At 37.5% G+C, this 14,863-nt stretch overlaps 1 protein-coding gene across 12 annotated transcripts in view; it reads left to right on the forward strand.

The window, feature by feature from the left end:
- Window positions 1–14,863, forward strand: part of RANBP2 (RAN binding protein 2) — a 1,122,820-nt gene that overhangs the window by 27,978 nt on the left and 1,079,979 nt on the right. For 10 of the 12 annotated variants that reach the window (XM_047445367.1, XM_005264002.4, NM_001415871.1 and 7 more), the window contains exons 9-19: window positions 1,461–1,670; window positions 3,805–3,986; window positions 4,069–4,244; window positions 4,412–4,535; window positions 5,539–5,700; window positions 5,967–6,104; window positions 6,366–6,512; window positions 7,446–7,625; window positions 7,717–7,800; window positions 10,954–11,089; window positions 14,642–14,736. In XM_047445367.1, the coding sequence (XP_047301323.1) occupies window positions 1,461–1,670; window positions 3,805–3,986; window positions 4,069–4,244; window positions 4,412–4,535; window positions 5,539–5,700; window positions 5,967–6,104; window positions 6,366–6,512; window positions 7,446–7,625; window positions 7,717–7,800; window positions 10,954–11,089; window positions 14,642–14,736 (1,634 nt within the window). Of the gene's footprint in view, window positions 1–1,460; window positions 1,671–3,804; window positions 3,987–4,068; window positions 4,245–4,411; window positions 4,536–5,538; window positions 5,701–5,966; window positions 6,105–6,365; window positions 6,513–7,445; window positions 7,626–7,716; window positions 7,801–10,953; window positions 11,090–12,485; window positions 12,655–14,641; window positions 14,737–14,863 lie in introns of those variants that run through there. The other 2 variants (XM_017004625.2, XM_017004624.3) reach the window with 2 other exon arrangements.

The following is a 14,863-nucleotide window of genomic DNA, read 5'->3' on the forward strand; positions in this document are numbered from 1 at the left end:
ATTATAAGCTTTGGTGTATAGTTAGGCTGTTGGCCAGAGCTCACATTGCTCTTTTATTCCATAGCTCACTTTTTTTTGTGGGAGTTAGGCTTTCAGTCCTTAAAGTGACTTTCTACTTTTTTCCTTTTCTCTTTTCCTTCTACCCTTGCAGGGCTCTCATAAGTGCCTTTGCGTGGTGTCACAGTTAGATAAAAATTGCCTGTATTTTTTTTAATGTCTTTGATCTGGGCATCCCGAGGGTGCCTCTGTAAGTGTGCTGAGACACAACTGTGTAGTGGTAACCAAACCTAATTGCCCAGCAGAATTAACTCGAAGGAGGGTTTTTAAAAAAAGTTCAATTGAAATATAATTCATATACCATACGCTTCACCCATTTAAAGTGTACGGTTCAGTGGCTTTTAGTATGTTCATAGAGTATTACCACTGTCACCACAGTCAGTTTTAGAAGATTTTCATCACTCCATGAGGAATTCCTTACCTATTAGCAGTTACTTCCCATTTTACCCAAACCTCTCAGCCTTGGCAACTGCTAATCTGTCTCTGTAGGTTTGCCTCTTCTGAACATTTCACATAAATGGAATCATATAGTATGTGGTCTTTTGTGACTGGCTTCTTTCATTTAGCAAGGTTTTCAAGGTTCATCTGTGTTATAGCATGTATCAGTACTTTATCCGAGACTATGATTTTTTGATTGCTTACTGTAAACCTATGGAATAAAAAACTCTGGGAACGAGGCCTGGAAATAATTCTTTTTTTTTTTTTTCCTGAGACAGAGTCTTACTCTGTCGCCCGGGCTGGAGTGCAGTGGCGTGATCTCGGCTCACTGCAAGCTCCACCTCCTGGGTTCATGCCATTCTCCTCCCTCAGCCTCCCCAGTAGCTGGGACTACAGGCGCCAGCCACCAGGGCCGGCTAATTTTTTTTTTTTTTTTTTTTGTATTTTTAGTAGAGATGGAGTTTCACTGTGTTAGCCAGGATGGTCTTGATCTCCTGACCTCATTATCCACCCAGCTTGGCCTCCCAAAGTGCTGGGATTACAGGCATGAGCCACCGTGCCCAGCCGGAAATAATTCTTAAAAGCTGTTTAAAGGAGGATTCTGATCAGCCAGGTTCAGAAATCAGTGTATCAGATCAGAGAATAAGAGTTTGTCCCTGTTCTCCTATGGCCACTTAAATCCAGACCTTTTCATCTGAAATGCAAATATGTTTGGCATTTTTCATACACATTCCTGTCTTTTTTCCCCCTTCTGCTGTCTTATGTAGATACTGAGAATATTAAACCTGTACTCTTCTCATTTGCTACATAAGCACCGGTTTTGTTGTCCAGCTGTATTTTTTGGGTTGGAGGGTTAGGTATGCAGTAATCATGTTATTTCCCCTTTGGGTATACAAATGAGACAACGTGAGCAAATACAATCTGTAATTTTAAAGTGATGGAAATAACTTAAATTTTTTTTTCAGGGCACATGTTGCTAAACTTAAGTCGTGGCAAGCAAGATTTTTTAAAAGAGATTGTTGAAACTTTTGCCAACAAAAGCGGGCAGTCTGCATTATATGATGCTCTGTTTTCTAGTCAGTCACCTAAGGATACATCTTTTCTTGGTAGCGATGATATTGGAAACATTGATGTACGAGAACCAGAGCTTGAAGATTTGACTAGATACGATGTTGGTAAGTTATATGTTTCAGAGGAAATGGTCTCCGTCTTAATTCTTATAAATTGCCCATAATCTTATTACCCAGAAATAACGACTTAATATTTTCCTGTATTCCTTTTGTGTGTGGGTTGGGCTGGGGGGAGTTTGAATGTGGTGCTGTGGGGGTGGCATGTATTTTTTGTTGTTGTTGTTGTTTTTAAGACCAAGTTTTGCTCTTGTCGCCCATGCTGGAGTGCAGTGGTGCGATCTCGGCTCACTGTAACCTCTGCCTCCCAGGTTCAAGTGATTCTGCTGCCTCAGTCTCCCAAGTAGCGGGATTACAAATGCCCGCCATCACGCCCGGCTAATTTTTTGTATTTTTAGTAGAGACGGGGTTTCATCATGTTGGTCAGGCTGGTCTCAAACTCCTGACCTCAGGTGATCCACCTGCCTTGGCCTCCCAAAGTGCTGGGATTACAGGTGTGAGCCACTGCGACCAGCCTTGTTGTATTTTGAGACAGGGTCTCGCTGTGTCACCTGGGCTGGAGTGTAGTGGCATGATCGTAGGTCACTGATACCTTGAACTTCTGGGCTCAAGGGATTCTCTTGCCTCAGCCTCCTGAGTAGCTGGTACCATAGGCACATGCCACTCGGCCCAGATAATTTTTTTTTTTAATTGGTAGAGACAGGGTCTCCCTTTGTTGCCCAGGCTAGTCTTGAACTCCTAGGCTCAAGTGATCCTCCTACCTAAGCCCCCAAAGTGTTGGGATTAGGCCTGGCACAGTGGCTCATATCTGTAATCCCAGCACTTTGGGAGGCCGAGGCAGGCAGATCACCTGAGATCAGGAGTTCGAGACCATCCTGGCCAACATGGTGAAACCCCGTCTCTACTAAAAATACAAAAATTATCCGGGGGTGGTGGCATGTGCCTGTAGTCCTACTCAGGAGGCTGAGGCAGGGGAATCGCTTCAACCCGGGAGGCGGAGGTTGCAGTGAGCCAAGATCACACTGCTGCACGACAGCCTGGGCGACAGAGCGAGACTTCGTCTCAAAAACAAAAAGTGTTGGAATTATAGGCATGAGCCACTGCATCTGGCCATATTTTTCATCTAAATGGTTGTTTATGTATGATTTATCTTGCTTCCTTCATGAATTCTCTCCCACAGTCTCTGTATTAAAACTATAAATATCACTTTTATTGGCAATATAATCTTTTTTATGAAGTAGTCATAATTTGCTTGCTACTTTCTGTTATTGGGCATCCAAGTTTTCTCAACTTTTCCACTGTTAATAATCATACTCTGATAAAAACTTCAACAAAAAGTGTCTTCATTGCAAGTTATTTCCATAGAGATACCTAAAAACAGAATTAGAGACAAAGGCCATGAACATCTTTAAGTCTTGCAAATTGCCAAAATGACAGAAAGATTATACCTCTTTATGCTTCCAGAAGCACATAACCTTTTCTTTTCTTTTCTTTTCTTTTCTTTTCTTTTCTTTTCTTTTCTTTGAGACAGAGTCTCGCTCTGTCACCCAGGCTGGAGTGCAGTGGCGCAATCTCGGCTCACTGCAACTTCCGCCTGCCAGGTTCAAGCAATTGTCTTGCCTCAGCCTCCCAAGTAGCTGGGACTATAGGCACGTGACACCATGCTCGGCTAATTTTTTGTGTTTTTAGTAGAGACGGAGTTTCACCATGCTGGCCAGGCTGGTCTCGAACTCCTGACTGCGCAGAACCTTTTCAATATTGACTTTCTTGTAGAAAAACAGATTTCTTTACTGTACCGATGGATTAATATAGTGGTGTTCCATTGCTTTAATGACTTAAAGGAAAACCCATCGTTTTGGGGTTTCTTATTAGGTTAGGTGTTCTTTATTTGGCTTTTGTCAGTTGATTTTGGTTTATTGAGTTCTAGTCAGTGTCATTTTTTAAGATGGACTTAAACATTCTTCATCACTACTATTTTTATTAAAATTTCTAGAAATAATCAAGTGAGAATGCATTTAATAAGAACATGAGATTTTGCCTAACATAGAATTCCCTTCAGCTTTGATATAGAAAAGCAGTTATATAATTAAGATATATATAATGTGAATTGTTTATGTTGGCAAAACTAATGGCACAAGGAAAAATTTCAAACCCTTAAGCCAATTTTTTAATTTTATTTCAGGTGCTATTCGAGCACATAATGGTAGTCTTCAGCACCTTACTTGGCTTGGCTTACAGTGGAATTCATTGCCTGCTTTACCTGGAATCCGAAAATGGCTAAAACAGCTTTTCCATCATTTGCCCCATGAAACCTCAAGGCTTGAAACAAATGCACCTGAATCAATATGTATTTTAGATCTTGAAGTAAGCAAAGATTTTAACAAATTAAATATTCTGAATTTTGTTTAATTTTTTTTCTAACTTAACTTTTCCTTAAATAAAACAGGTATTTCTCCTTGGAGTAGTATATACCAGCCACTTACAATTAAAGGAGAAATGTAATTCTCACCACAGCTCCTATCAGCCGTTATGCCTGCCCCTTCCTGTGTGTAAACAGCTTTGTACAGAAAGACAAAAATCTTGGTGGGATGCGGTTTGTACTCTGATTCACAGAAAAGCAGTGTAAGTAGTAAAACAAAAATATTGCTTTCACTTAGTGCGTAGGTTTTACCGGGGATTTAATCCTCATGTGAAGATTTAATTTGTCATGTGACCCATTAACATATATGTATGTAAGCCCTGAACTGTGTATTTAGAAAGCAATTTTAGTAAATTGAACTATTTTTTAGACCTGGAAACGTAGCAAAATTGAGACTTCTAGTTCAGCATGAAATAAACACTCTAAGAGCCCAGGAAAAACATGGCCTTCAACCTGCTCTGCTTGTACATTGGGCAGAATGCCTTCAGAAAACGGTGAGTTTTAAAGTATAAGCATTTTTAAAGAACATTACCTTAATTTTTTAAAATCATGAACTTTTTATTGAAAGTTTTTTTGTTCTGAAAACAGCAGCTTGGTCACATTATGACAGATGTGTTTTTTATTGCTGCAAAATAGTTAATGTAGTTAAATATAAGCACTTAGAGGAGCAATGCCTGGCACACAGTGAATGTTACATATTAGCTGAGCTGTTACTGTTATTCCTTAATAATTAAGTTCTGATAATTATTCAGCCTGAAAATTAAAAAAAAAAATTAGCACAAGGCTTTGTAGGTAAGACCATTATAGATCTTTCTATATACTTAAGGTGTGTTTTGTGTCACCATGAGGTGTAGATGGTCAGCCTTTTGAACAAACTGACACTACAGAAGAGGCAGGTTTCAGCTATCTAAAAATGGCAACTGTTAAAAAGTAGTTTGGATTGCTACGTTAGGATGGTATCATTAGAAGCGTTTAAAAGTTGAGTGTAGAGGCCGGGTGCGGTGGCTCACACCTGTAATCCCAGCACGTTAGGAGGCCGAGGCGGGCAGATCACAAGGTCAGGAGATCGAGATCATTCCTGGCTAACACGGTGAAACCCCGTCTCTACTAAAAATACAAAAAAAAAAAAAAAAAAAGAAAAAATTAGCCGGGCGTGGTGGCAGGCATCTGTAGTCCCAGCTACTTGGGAGGCTGAGGCAAGAGAATGGTGTGAACCCAGGAGGCGGAGCTTGCAGTGAGCCGAGATCACGCCACTGCACTCCAGCCTGGGCTACAGAGCAAGACTCTGTCTCAAAAAAAAAAAAAAGTTGAGTGTAGAATGATCACTGGTGTTAAGGTGGTTTAGTTATTACAGTATTTGGAAGTTGAACAAATGACTATTGAGATACCATTTGGTTTTGACTTGAAATTTTAGCCAGTTCTTTCAACTTGTAAATGAACTTTAGATCTAATCATGCGTGTTCCTTAAAGTTGTGTGCTTTTAACTTTCTTTTTTAGGGCAGCGGTCTTAATTCTTTTTATGATCAACGAGAATACATAGGGAGAAGTGTTCATTATTGGAAGAAAGTTTTGCCATTGTTGAAGATAATAAAAAAGAAGAACAGTATTCCTGAACCTATTGATCCTCTGTTTAAACATTTTCATAGTGTAGACATTCAGGTAACAGAGTTCCTTTATGAATTTATTGGAGATGGGAATTTCCAGTTTATAAACAAAGACATAGAGCTATACACTGCTTAAATTAATTGCCTTGTTATTTAATGGTAATCTTGTTTTCTAAATTCACTAGCTCTCACACATAAGATATGACAGAGAAGAATAATGAGATGTTTGTCTCTTAAGATCATATAAAATCTTTGGAAAATCATTTGGGTTTTATATTCTGAGTATAAACAATTTGACTAAAAACTATTCTGTGTGTTTAGGCATCAGAAATTGTTGAATATGAAGAAGACGCACACATAACTTTTGCTATATTGGATGCAGTAAATGGAAATATAGAAGATGCTGTGACTGCTTTTGAATCTATAAAAAGTGTTGTTTCTTATTGGAATCTTGCACTGGTAAGTAGATGCAGTACTTGAGCTAAAAGTTTTATTTATTTATTTATTATTTTTTTAAAAGACGGGGTTTCTCTGTTGGTCGGGCTAGAGTGCAGTGGCACAATCTTGGCTCACTGCAACCTCTGCTTCCCAGGCTCAAGCGATTCTTGTGCCTCAGCTCCCGAGTAGCTGGGATTACAGGCATGAGCCACCATGCGTGGCCAAGCTAAAAGTTTTTTGTTTTAAAAACCTAATGATTTCATAAAAGCACTATTTGTATAGATTTTTCACAGGAAGGCAGAAGACATTGAAAATGATGCCCTTTCTCCTGAAGAACAAGAAGAATGCAAAAATTATCTGAGAAAGACCAGGGACTACCTAATAAAGATTATAGATGACAGTGATTCAAATCTTTCAGTGGTCAAGAAAGTAAGTAGCAGGTTGTTGTATGTACGTTCTTACTGATAACCCACTGGTCAATGTTTTTGCGTTGGTCTTATATTTTGGTAATTTCAAAAATACTCAGTAATATGTTGTTATTAATGCACAGAAGGGATATGTGTGTCTAAATGCTTATATTTGCTTGCTTTGTCTTAGGTTTGGTGTGTCTTTTTAAACTTGGGAATCTAGGTATATGCTCTTAAAAAGTACTTCTTGGGGAATTAGAAAAGATTTCTAAGATAAGACATTGATTTTGTTATCTTAGCAGTGTAATCAAAACAAATATTATAACCTCAGGACTAATTCTTAATGAACTTTGCTGAAATTGAAAGTTGTTGCTGACAACTTAAGAGCATTTCTTCTCATCCTCATCAGCCATTGTGAACGCCCTTGTTTTCTTGCTGTCAGCTGTTTGAGATTGTCATGATGATGTTAAATTATGTTCAGTCTTCTGAGTGTTTTGTTGATTAATTTGTGTTACTACTCTTTTATTAGGATTTATGTTGTCTGGTGTATTGTAGCATCTGTATTTCTGTCACCATTGAAAATCAGTTAGAAAACATCAGTAACTTATTTTGTTCACTTGGAAAAGCTTTCCAAGTTAACATTCCTCTACAATTATCATGGTTAACAGAAGTAATAGAAAGAGCATGGACTTTAGAATCAGAAGATGTTAGATTGTACAACACTTTTCTGTGTTCATGAAGAAAAAAATATAATAAAGGCAAAAAATAATAATAATACAAAACAACAGAAAAAGAAAAAAGATAATTAAAAAACACTTTCACGTGTATTATTTAAAGTGTAAAGTGCCTATTAAAGTGGCAAAAATGTAAATAAGATAAAATATATCATTTTAGAGTTTTTACTTTTGGAATTTTTTGCAAATGAAAGCCCTTAATTAATGTCTTTTATTTTTAGTTGCCTGTGCCCCTGGAGTCTGTAAAAGAGATGCTTAATTCAGTCATGCAGGAACTCGAAGACTATAGTGAAGGAGGTCCTCTCTATAAAAATGGTTCTTTGCGAAATGCAGATTCAGAAATAAAACATTCTACACCGTCTCCTACCAGATATTCACTATCACCAAGTAAAAGTTACAAGGTAAACAGGAAAGAATGGAATCATTTCATTGTGAAATTGTTTCTGTTCTAAGTGTTTTAAATGCTGTTTTGTTATTTTTATTTTTTTTTAGTATTCTCCCAAAACACCACCTCGATGGGCAGAAGATCAGAATTCTTTACTGAAAATGATTTGCCAACAAGTAGAGGCCATTAAGGTAAGTCACTTAATTTCTCTAGCTGTACTTTTTATTCCAAGATTCCTTCCCTGGCCACTCTCTCACTTTTTTTCTGAAGCTGGTCAGAATGTCCCCTTGCCATCCAAATAGTATGGCAAGGGGACATTTTGGTCTTTTTTTTTTTTTTTAAGACAGGGTCTTGTTCTGTTGTGCAGGCTGGAGTACAGTGGTATGATCACAGCTTACTGTGGCTTCGACCTCCTAGCTCAAGAGAGGCTCTTGGCTCAGCCTGCCACGAAGCCAGGACTACAGACAGTCACACGCCACCAGGCCCAGCTAATTGTTGTATTTTTTATAGAGATGGGATTTTGCCATGTTGCCCAGGGTGGCCTTGAACTCCTGGCTCAAAGAATCCTCCTGCTTCAGCCTCCCAAAGTGCTGGGATTGCAGGTGTGAGCCACTGTGCCCAGCCTACATACCTCGGTCTTGACCCTTTACCATATTTTGTTTTGTTTTGTTTTGAGATGGAGTCTCACTCTGTTGCCCAGTCTGGAGTGCAGTGGTGCGATCTTGGCTCACTGCAACCTCCACCTCCCAGGTTCAAGCGACTCTCCTGCCTCAGCCTCCTGAGTAGCTGGGATTACAGGCACCCGCCACCAGGCCCAGCTAATTTTTGTATGTTTAGTAGACACAGAGTTTCACCATGTTGGCCAAGCTGTTTTTGAACTTCTGACCTCAGGTGATCTGCCCGCCTTGGCCTCCCAAAGTGCTGGGATTACAGGTGTAAACCCCCGAGCCCAGCCCTTTACCGTATTTTTGAAAGTACTTTATGTGTCTCTCTCTTCATCTTCCACAAAATTTGAGACCTTCAAAGGTAGAAACTGTTTTATTTAAAATATAAGAGTTCGTGGCACAGAGAAGGTTCCTGAGTGATTGAACTGCTACCATGTACTAATCATACTCTGGTCTATGAGTTCATTCCCAGATTAGCTGTGGATTACATGTGTTTCAAATGTATAGCTAGGAATTGAAAAGTGGTCTGAGCTTCAAAAAGTCTTACTATATTTTAATACTTCCATATGAATTTGACTTCATTATGTAAGGAAATAGTTATGTATATATATCTTATTTTAACAATAGGGTTCAAAGGAGCTTGACTTTTTTGGAATTGGAAATAAAAGTAGGTTCTTTCATGTTTATCAGGCAAGAACTAAATTACTCATACTGCTAAGGTTACATCAAGGATATGCTGATGTGTGGCGATTATTACAGTGTGATCAGCAGTATTTGCAACTTAAGAGAATACTGTGTGGTGGGGAAGACATTTTTGAATTTGCACAAAAATTTTGAATGTTAATTCTGTGTAGTCATGGCCTATGACAATTACATACAATTTTGACTTAACATACAGGTTTCAGGCTCCCAACATTGTATTCTGTGGAAGTATCGTGGAGCACTAATCCATGAGCTTGAAAAGCTTGGTACTAGTACTGACTCTGCCATTAATTAATGATCTTGGGCCAGTCACTTCCATTGTGACTGTTTGGCTTCTTATCTTTAAAATGAGAGAATTACTGAAGCCAGTTCTCATCACACTGAATGTTAAAAATTACAGTTACAGCAGTGATTGCAAATTCAAAGCTCTGGTGCGGATACCAACAGTGACCATAAAGTTTTCTAGGTGATTCCACTAGTTTCTTATTGGATGTGTATGTGTAGCATCTGGACTAGGCACTGTAGATGGATGAGTGGGGGAAATTTTATTTAGCTTGAAAATTGAGATAGTTTTGGACCTCATGGTTAGGTCTTTCTGGGAAATTTTTAATTGAAACACTTGTAGAAAAAGAAAGCAGACATGCTAGATCTGTCCCTGACCTCACTTGTTAGAACTGGTCGGATTCCTGGGCTGATACAGAGAAGTTTGAAACTTTTCAAAATTTACCTGTTTTCTGATACCACTACAATTTCTTTGGAAAAAGAATTTCCTGTTAAGTGTCTGTTTTGTAAGGGGACATTTTGTAGGTTCTAGGGTTGGGTATGGTGCTGTCATTTAGTTTTCTTCAGCAGAGATGAGGTAGCCACATAGCTACACTAGACGGCATTGTATCTATCTGCCATCTTGTCAAGGCAGCAGAGTTGTGTTAAGAAAACATTTTTGGAGTCAGATCTGGTTCAAATTCCAGCTGTTATTCCCTGCATCCGTTTCTCTCATTTTAAGATAGGAGCTAATATTGTTTACCTAACAGTGTAGATAGTATAAAAATTAAGAGTTTAAGTGCATTGGACGTATTATTATATACATAATAAATTCTCTGCAGCTACTACTTTTTTCCCTTTCCTGGTGGAGCATTTGAACATCACCTTGAGAATTAGTTGTATTTTGTTTCAGCATGGGGTTAAGTGAAAAGCTAATTTGGGGAGGTAACGCGGAATGTCAGGTAGTCCAGATTGCAGTGCAGAAAGAACACACTGAAAGGATGGTCAGTGTAATGTTAGAGGACTGTGAAAGTTGAGGAAAGAAGTTTAGTTTGTAGATACTTGTTTTTTTGAGCAGGGAATTGTCTTGGCTGGAGGTGAACGTCAGAAAGGTTAATGTAGGCAAGTGTAGAATGGAAATGAAGGTGTGATCATTTAGGAGGTTATTTGTTTAGGTGAGAGTTAATAAATTAGGTTTTGTATTAATAAATGAAAATGGGAGCAGATAAATTTTTAACAAATTAAGAATCATATTTTAAAATCAGCACCAGGTACCTAGAACTCACTGGCAAATAGAAACTTTCAAAAGATATAATCAGGTCCGGGCGTGGTGGGTCACACCTATAATCCCAGCACTTTGGGAGGCTGAGGTGGTGGGTCACTTGAGGTCAGGAGTTCAAGACTAGCCTGGCAAACATGGTGAAACCCCATCTCTACTATTACACAAAAAATTAGCCAGGCGTGCTGGCTGACGCCTGTAATCCGAGCTACTCAGGGCGCTGAAGTGGGAGAATTGCTTGAGCCCAGGAGGTGGAGGTTGCGGTGAGCCAAGATTGTGCCATTGCACTCCAGCCTGGACGACAGATCGAGACACCATCTCAAAAAAAAAAAAAAAAATCAGTTATTTAAATTTAAAAGAGTAAGTTTCCCCAGCACTGTTTCTGTCATGATATAATTAAATGTTTAAAATTATTTGATTTTTTTTTCTTCCAATAGAAAGAAATGCAGGAGTTGAAACTAAATAGCAGTAACTCAGCATCCCCTCATCGTTGGCCCACAGAGAATTATGGACCAGACTCAGTGCCTGATGGATATCAGGGGTCACAGACATTTCATGGGGCTCCACTAACAGGTGAGCTGGCAAGTGGATAATCGCATATTTTAGTAAAACTACTTTACTTCCCTCTTTTAAGTAGATAACGTGTGAAATCACCTTGTTTATATATGTTTGTTAATATACATGTCAACGTCTGTTTATATGTGACTTCAAAAGCTGTATTTGGTGTTACGGAGATTTTTATAATCCCAAGCAGAAAAAACGAGCCGTATGTGATCACGTGTATATAAAGGCTTAAAGAACACTTAATCCACACCTCAGATGAGCTGAGATGAGATTATTCCTTAAATTGAAAAATGTTAATGAATAGAGTTATGCACTAAGAAATGCTTAATTAAGAACCTACACCTCTGGGGAATTATTTTGATGATAATGATGAGAGGCAGGACGTTATATAGGAAATCTTACTTAATTTGAAATATTATGGTTATATAAAGAAAGAAAAGGAGTTTGGACCTGAATCATACTGGGTTTTTAAGTTCTGCTCTATCACTTACTATAATAGCTGTGTAAGATAACCTGTCTGAAACGTGGAGATAATACTTGCCTTACATAATTACTATGAGCATTTGTGTATGTGCAGGTGGGCGTGGGTGTGTATCAGACATTTATTAGAGTATACAGTAAACAGTTAATGAACTAAGGTTACTAATAGTGTTTACTGTGGGTTGGCTATGTGCAAAAGTGCTTTGTGAATGTAATTTTATTTAATTACAGTAACTTAGAATGGCCGGTACCATTATTAATCCCTTTTTTATAAATAAGGAAATTAAAGAAAGGTTAGGTAACTTACTCATTATTATACAGCTAGTTATTGATAGAGCTGAGATTCACACTCCGGTGGTGTAACTCCAAAGCACTTGCCAGTATAATACATTGCTCCCAGGCAGCGAGAAATAACAAAATTGTTCCTTTTACGTACGACAGACTTCTGAAATGGTAGTAGTAGTAGTGCCCTTTTTTTTTCTCTTTTTAGCCCAGGAAAGATTTAGAATAAAATCTAGTTTAGATGAGCACATTTGTGTGATGGTTCATATAGTTAAGGCAACCCCACTAGCCTTTTGTGATAGTATCTTCTCAACACAAGCAAAATAACAGAAAATCTTTGTGAAATCAAGCTTATTAAATGTCATAAGTCATAGATAAGTATATGAAATGTCTAACGTTCAAACCTTGTTTTCTTAAAACCTTACACATCATATAGGTCCTTGTAAGAGGATAAACAAACCGGCTAGCCTTTCCTGGGGCTTTTTTAGTGATGTGTGCAGTCAGTTATTTGGTGCCTTGTGGGTCATGATTTCCATTTCTTCTGTGTACAGGCATAAAAGATCTTCTGTTCTTATACAAGCATGTAAATCCAACATTCTCATTGTCTCATTTTATTCTTGCAATGACCCTGTGAAATGTGTAGAAGCAGCACATCCTCATTTTACAATTGAGAAACATGGAGACTCCAAATGGATTATTTACAGGTTCACAAAACAGCTTTGTGGCACTGAAAGGGCGAGAGCCAAGATCTCCTGATTTCTGTTCCTGTGTTCATAGATTCTTTTTCCTTAATAAAAGTAAACATATATCAAGATGGTCCTTGTTTTTTAAAAATAAGATGATTAAAATTAAAGATTAATGAGCTCATAGGAGATACTCAGAAGTACTGAACAGGGTGAAGAAAACTAAAAGCTAACCACCTTATTAACATTTCCTATATTTGAGAGCATTTCCTTCTAGTTCTTTCTCTATACATATAGTATTTTTTATGAGATTGTTACCATGTTACTATGTTGTGTGTAGATGAGCTAGCCTGTTTTTTAAATGTTACTTTAGTTCTGAGCATTTTTAAACTTAAATGTTTTTTGAACATTAATGAGTTCATGGTATCCCATCACATGGAAGTACTGTAAATTCTGTTCCTTTATTTATGTTGTTTCTGGTTTATGCCATTACAAATTCTAGGACACTGTCCTAGTTTTATAGGGTATTCAGAATATTCAGTTTATGCTCTTACCACTAGTATCTGATAGTGCCATTTTCGCACTTTGCTAATGCTGACTTACTGGTTTATAAAATCCTTTGCCAATTTGTAGGAACAAAAGTGATATCAATTTTTAAGTTTTTTTAATACTAGTCATGGTCAACAATTCATGCAAATGGCAGTTGGTAGTTTTGCCATCTTCAACGTGGGTACCTCCCAGTTGTTTGGTTTCTTGGTAAAACTCACACAAAACAGATGGAGAAGAGTTTGTATATCAACATGAATGTTAATGTGATTTTTTTAAAGCCCGCGAACACATTTGTGTTCCTTGTGATCTCCTTTGCATGAATTTGTCAGGTAATTTTTTTGACCTGAACATTCTCATAATAGCTTCAGTTTGCCCAATGCAACCTCATCATTTTGCGGATTTTTCAAGGCTCACTTCAAAAACATGTTCCTTGAGGCCTATTAACATTTCTTTCCTAAATTGTCTATTCATATGGTGCTTTTAAAAGTTAGATTACTTTTAGTAGATTTATTAGAGCCGCACAGTTTAGAGTCAGTAGTCAATTAAAGTCCCTACTTAAACTTCAGACTAAGATTTTTTTTTTATTTAATATTTTATTTTTTCTTTTTGCTTTCATGCAGACAGACATCTTGCAAGACTTTAAGATTCTTGGGCCATTTCTGTCAGGTTGTTCTGTGTTCTGTGCCTGCTTCCTCCCCATAGTAATTTCAAAATAGCTATCCTCACCTCTGTAAGGTTTCCAAAATCAAACTTGGGCTTCTGGCTAGCCTTTTCTAGGTCTTGATTTTTCAGTGCTTTCCAGAGGCAATTGTTTGGAACCTCTTGGCACAGTTTCTGTTTCTTTTTCCATGTACAGGCATAAAAGGTCTTTTGGTTGTTTTCTGGTAAAACTATCATAAAACAGTTCAAGCAAATGACTATTGGTAGTTTTGCCATTAACATGGGTGCCTTCTAGTCATTTTGTTTCCTGGTAAAACACACAAAACAGAGGGAGCAGACAGTTTGTACATCAGCATGAGTGTTGATGTGCTTTTTATTTTAAGCCAGGGAACACATTTTATGTTATTTATGACATCCTGTCCATGAATTTGTCAGGTGATTTTTGAGCTGAACATTCTCAGTAATAGCTTTAGTTTACAAAATACAACCTAGTCTTTCTGCAGATTTTCTAGGCCCACTTCAAATGCATTGACCATCAGATGGCATCTTGGTTCCTTACGTCCTTTCTGTGACTGAATGTCCATAATTCCACATCATACTGATCTTTCTTAGAAAAGGCAACAGTTACTTTCTTCTTTATTCCTTTTTTAATGCTTGTGAGGTAGTTGTTCTTGTTGATCACAGCAATGCTATTCTCTTATTCTTCATGTCATATTTAGCAGTTTTTTTCTAGTTTGTCATTTGATAATCTTGATTGGTGTATTTTGATGTACAGAAATTTAAAATTTATGTAGTTAAATCTTTCTTTAATTTCTATTGCCTTTGTATTTATAGCTCTTGCCTAGATAGTCTTAACTGTAGTATAGACTTTAACAGTGTTTTCTTTATTTTCTTTTTGTTTTTTTAGTTGCAACTACTGGCCCTTCAGTATATTATAGTCAGTCACCAGCATATAATTCCCAGTATCTTCTCAGACCAGCAGCTAATGTTACTCCCACAAAGGTAACAAAGGAATAATTTATACATTTATAATTATTTCCTTTTTAAATTGTTTAGGGTTCCTTCAAATAAATTCAAGAGAGCAGTTCACTATTAAAACTTTTATGTCCCTTAAAATGTAGATATTTTA

This window comes from Homo sapiens, chromosome 2 (assembly GCF_000001405.40).
Source record: "Homo sapiens chromosome 2, GRCh38.p14 Primary Assembly".
Taxonomy (NCBI): Eukaryota; Metazoa; Chordata; class Mammalia; order Primates; family Hominidae; genus Homo; species Homo sapiens.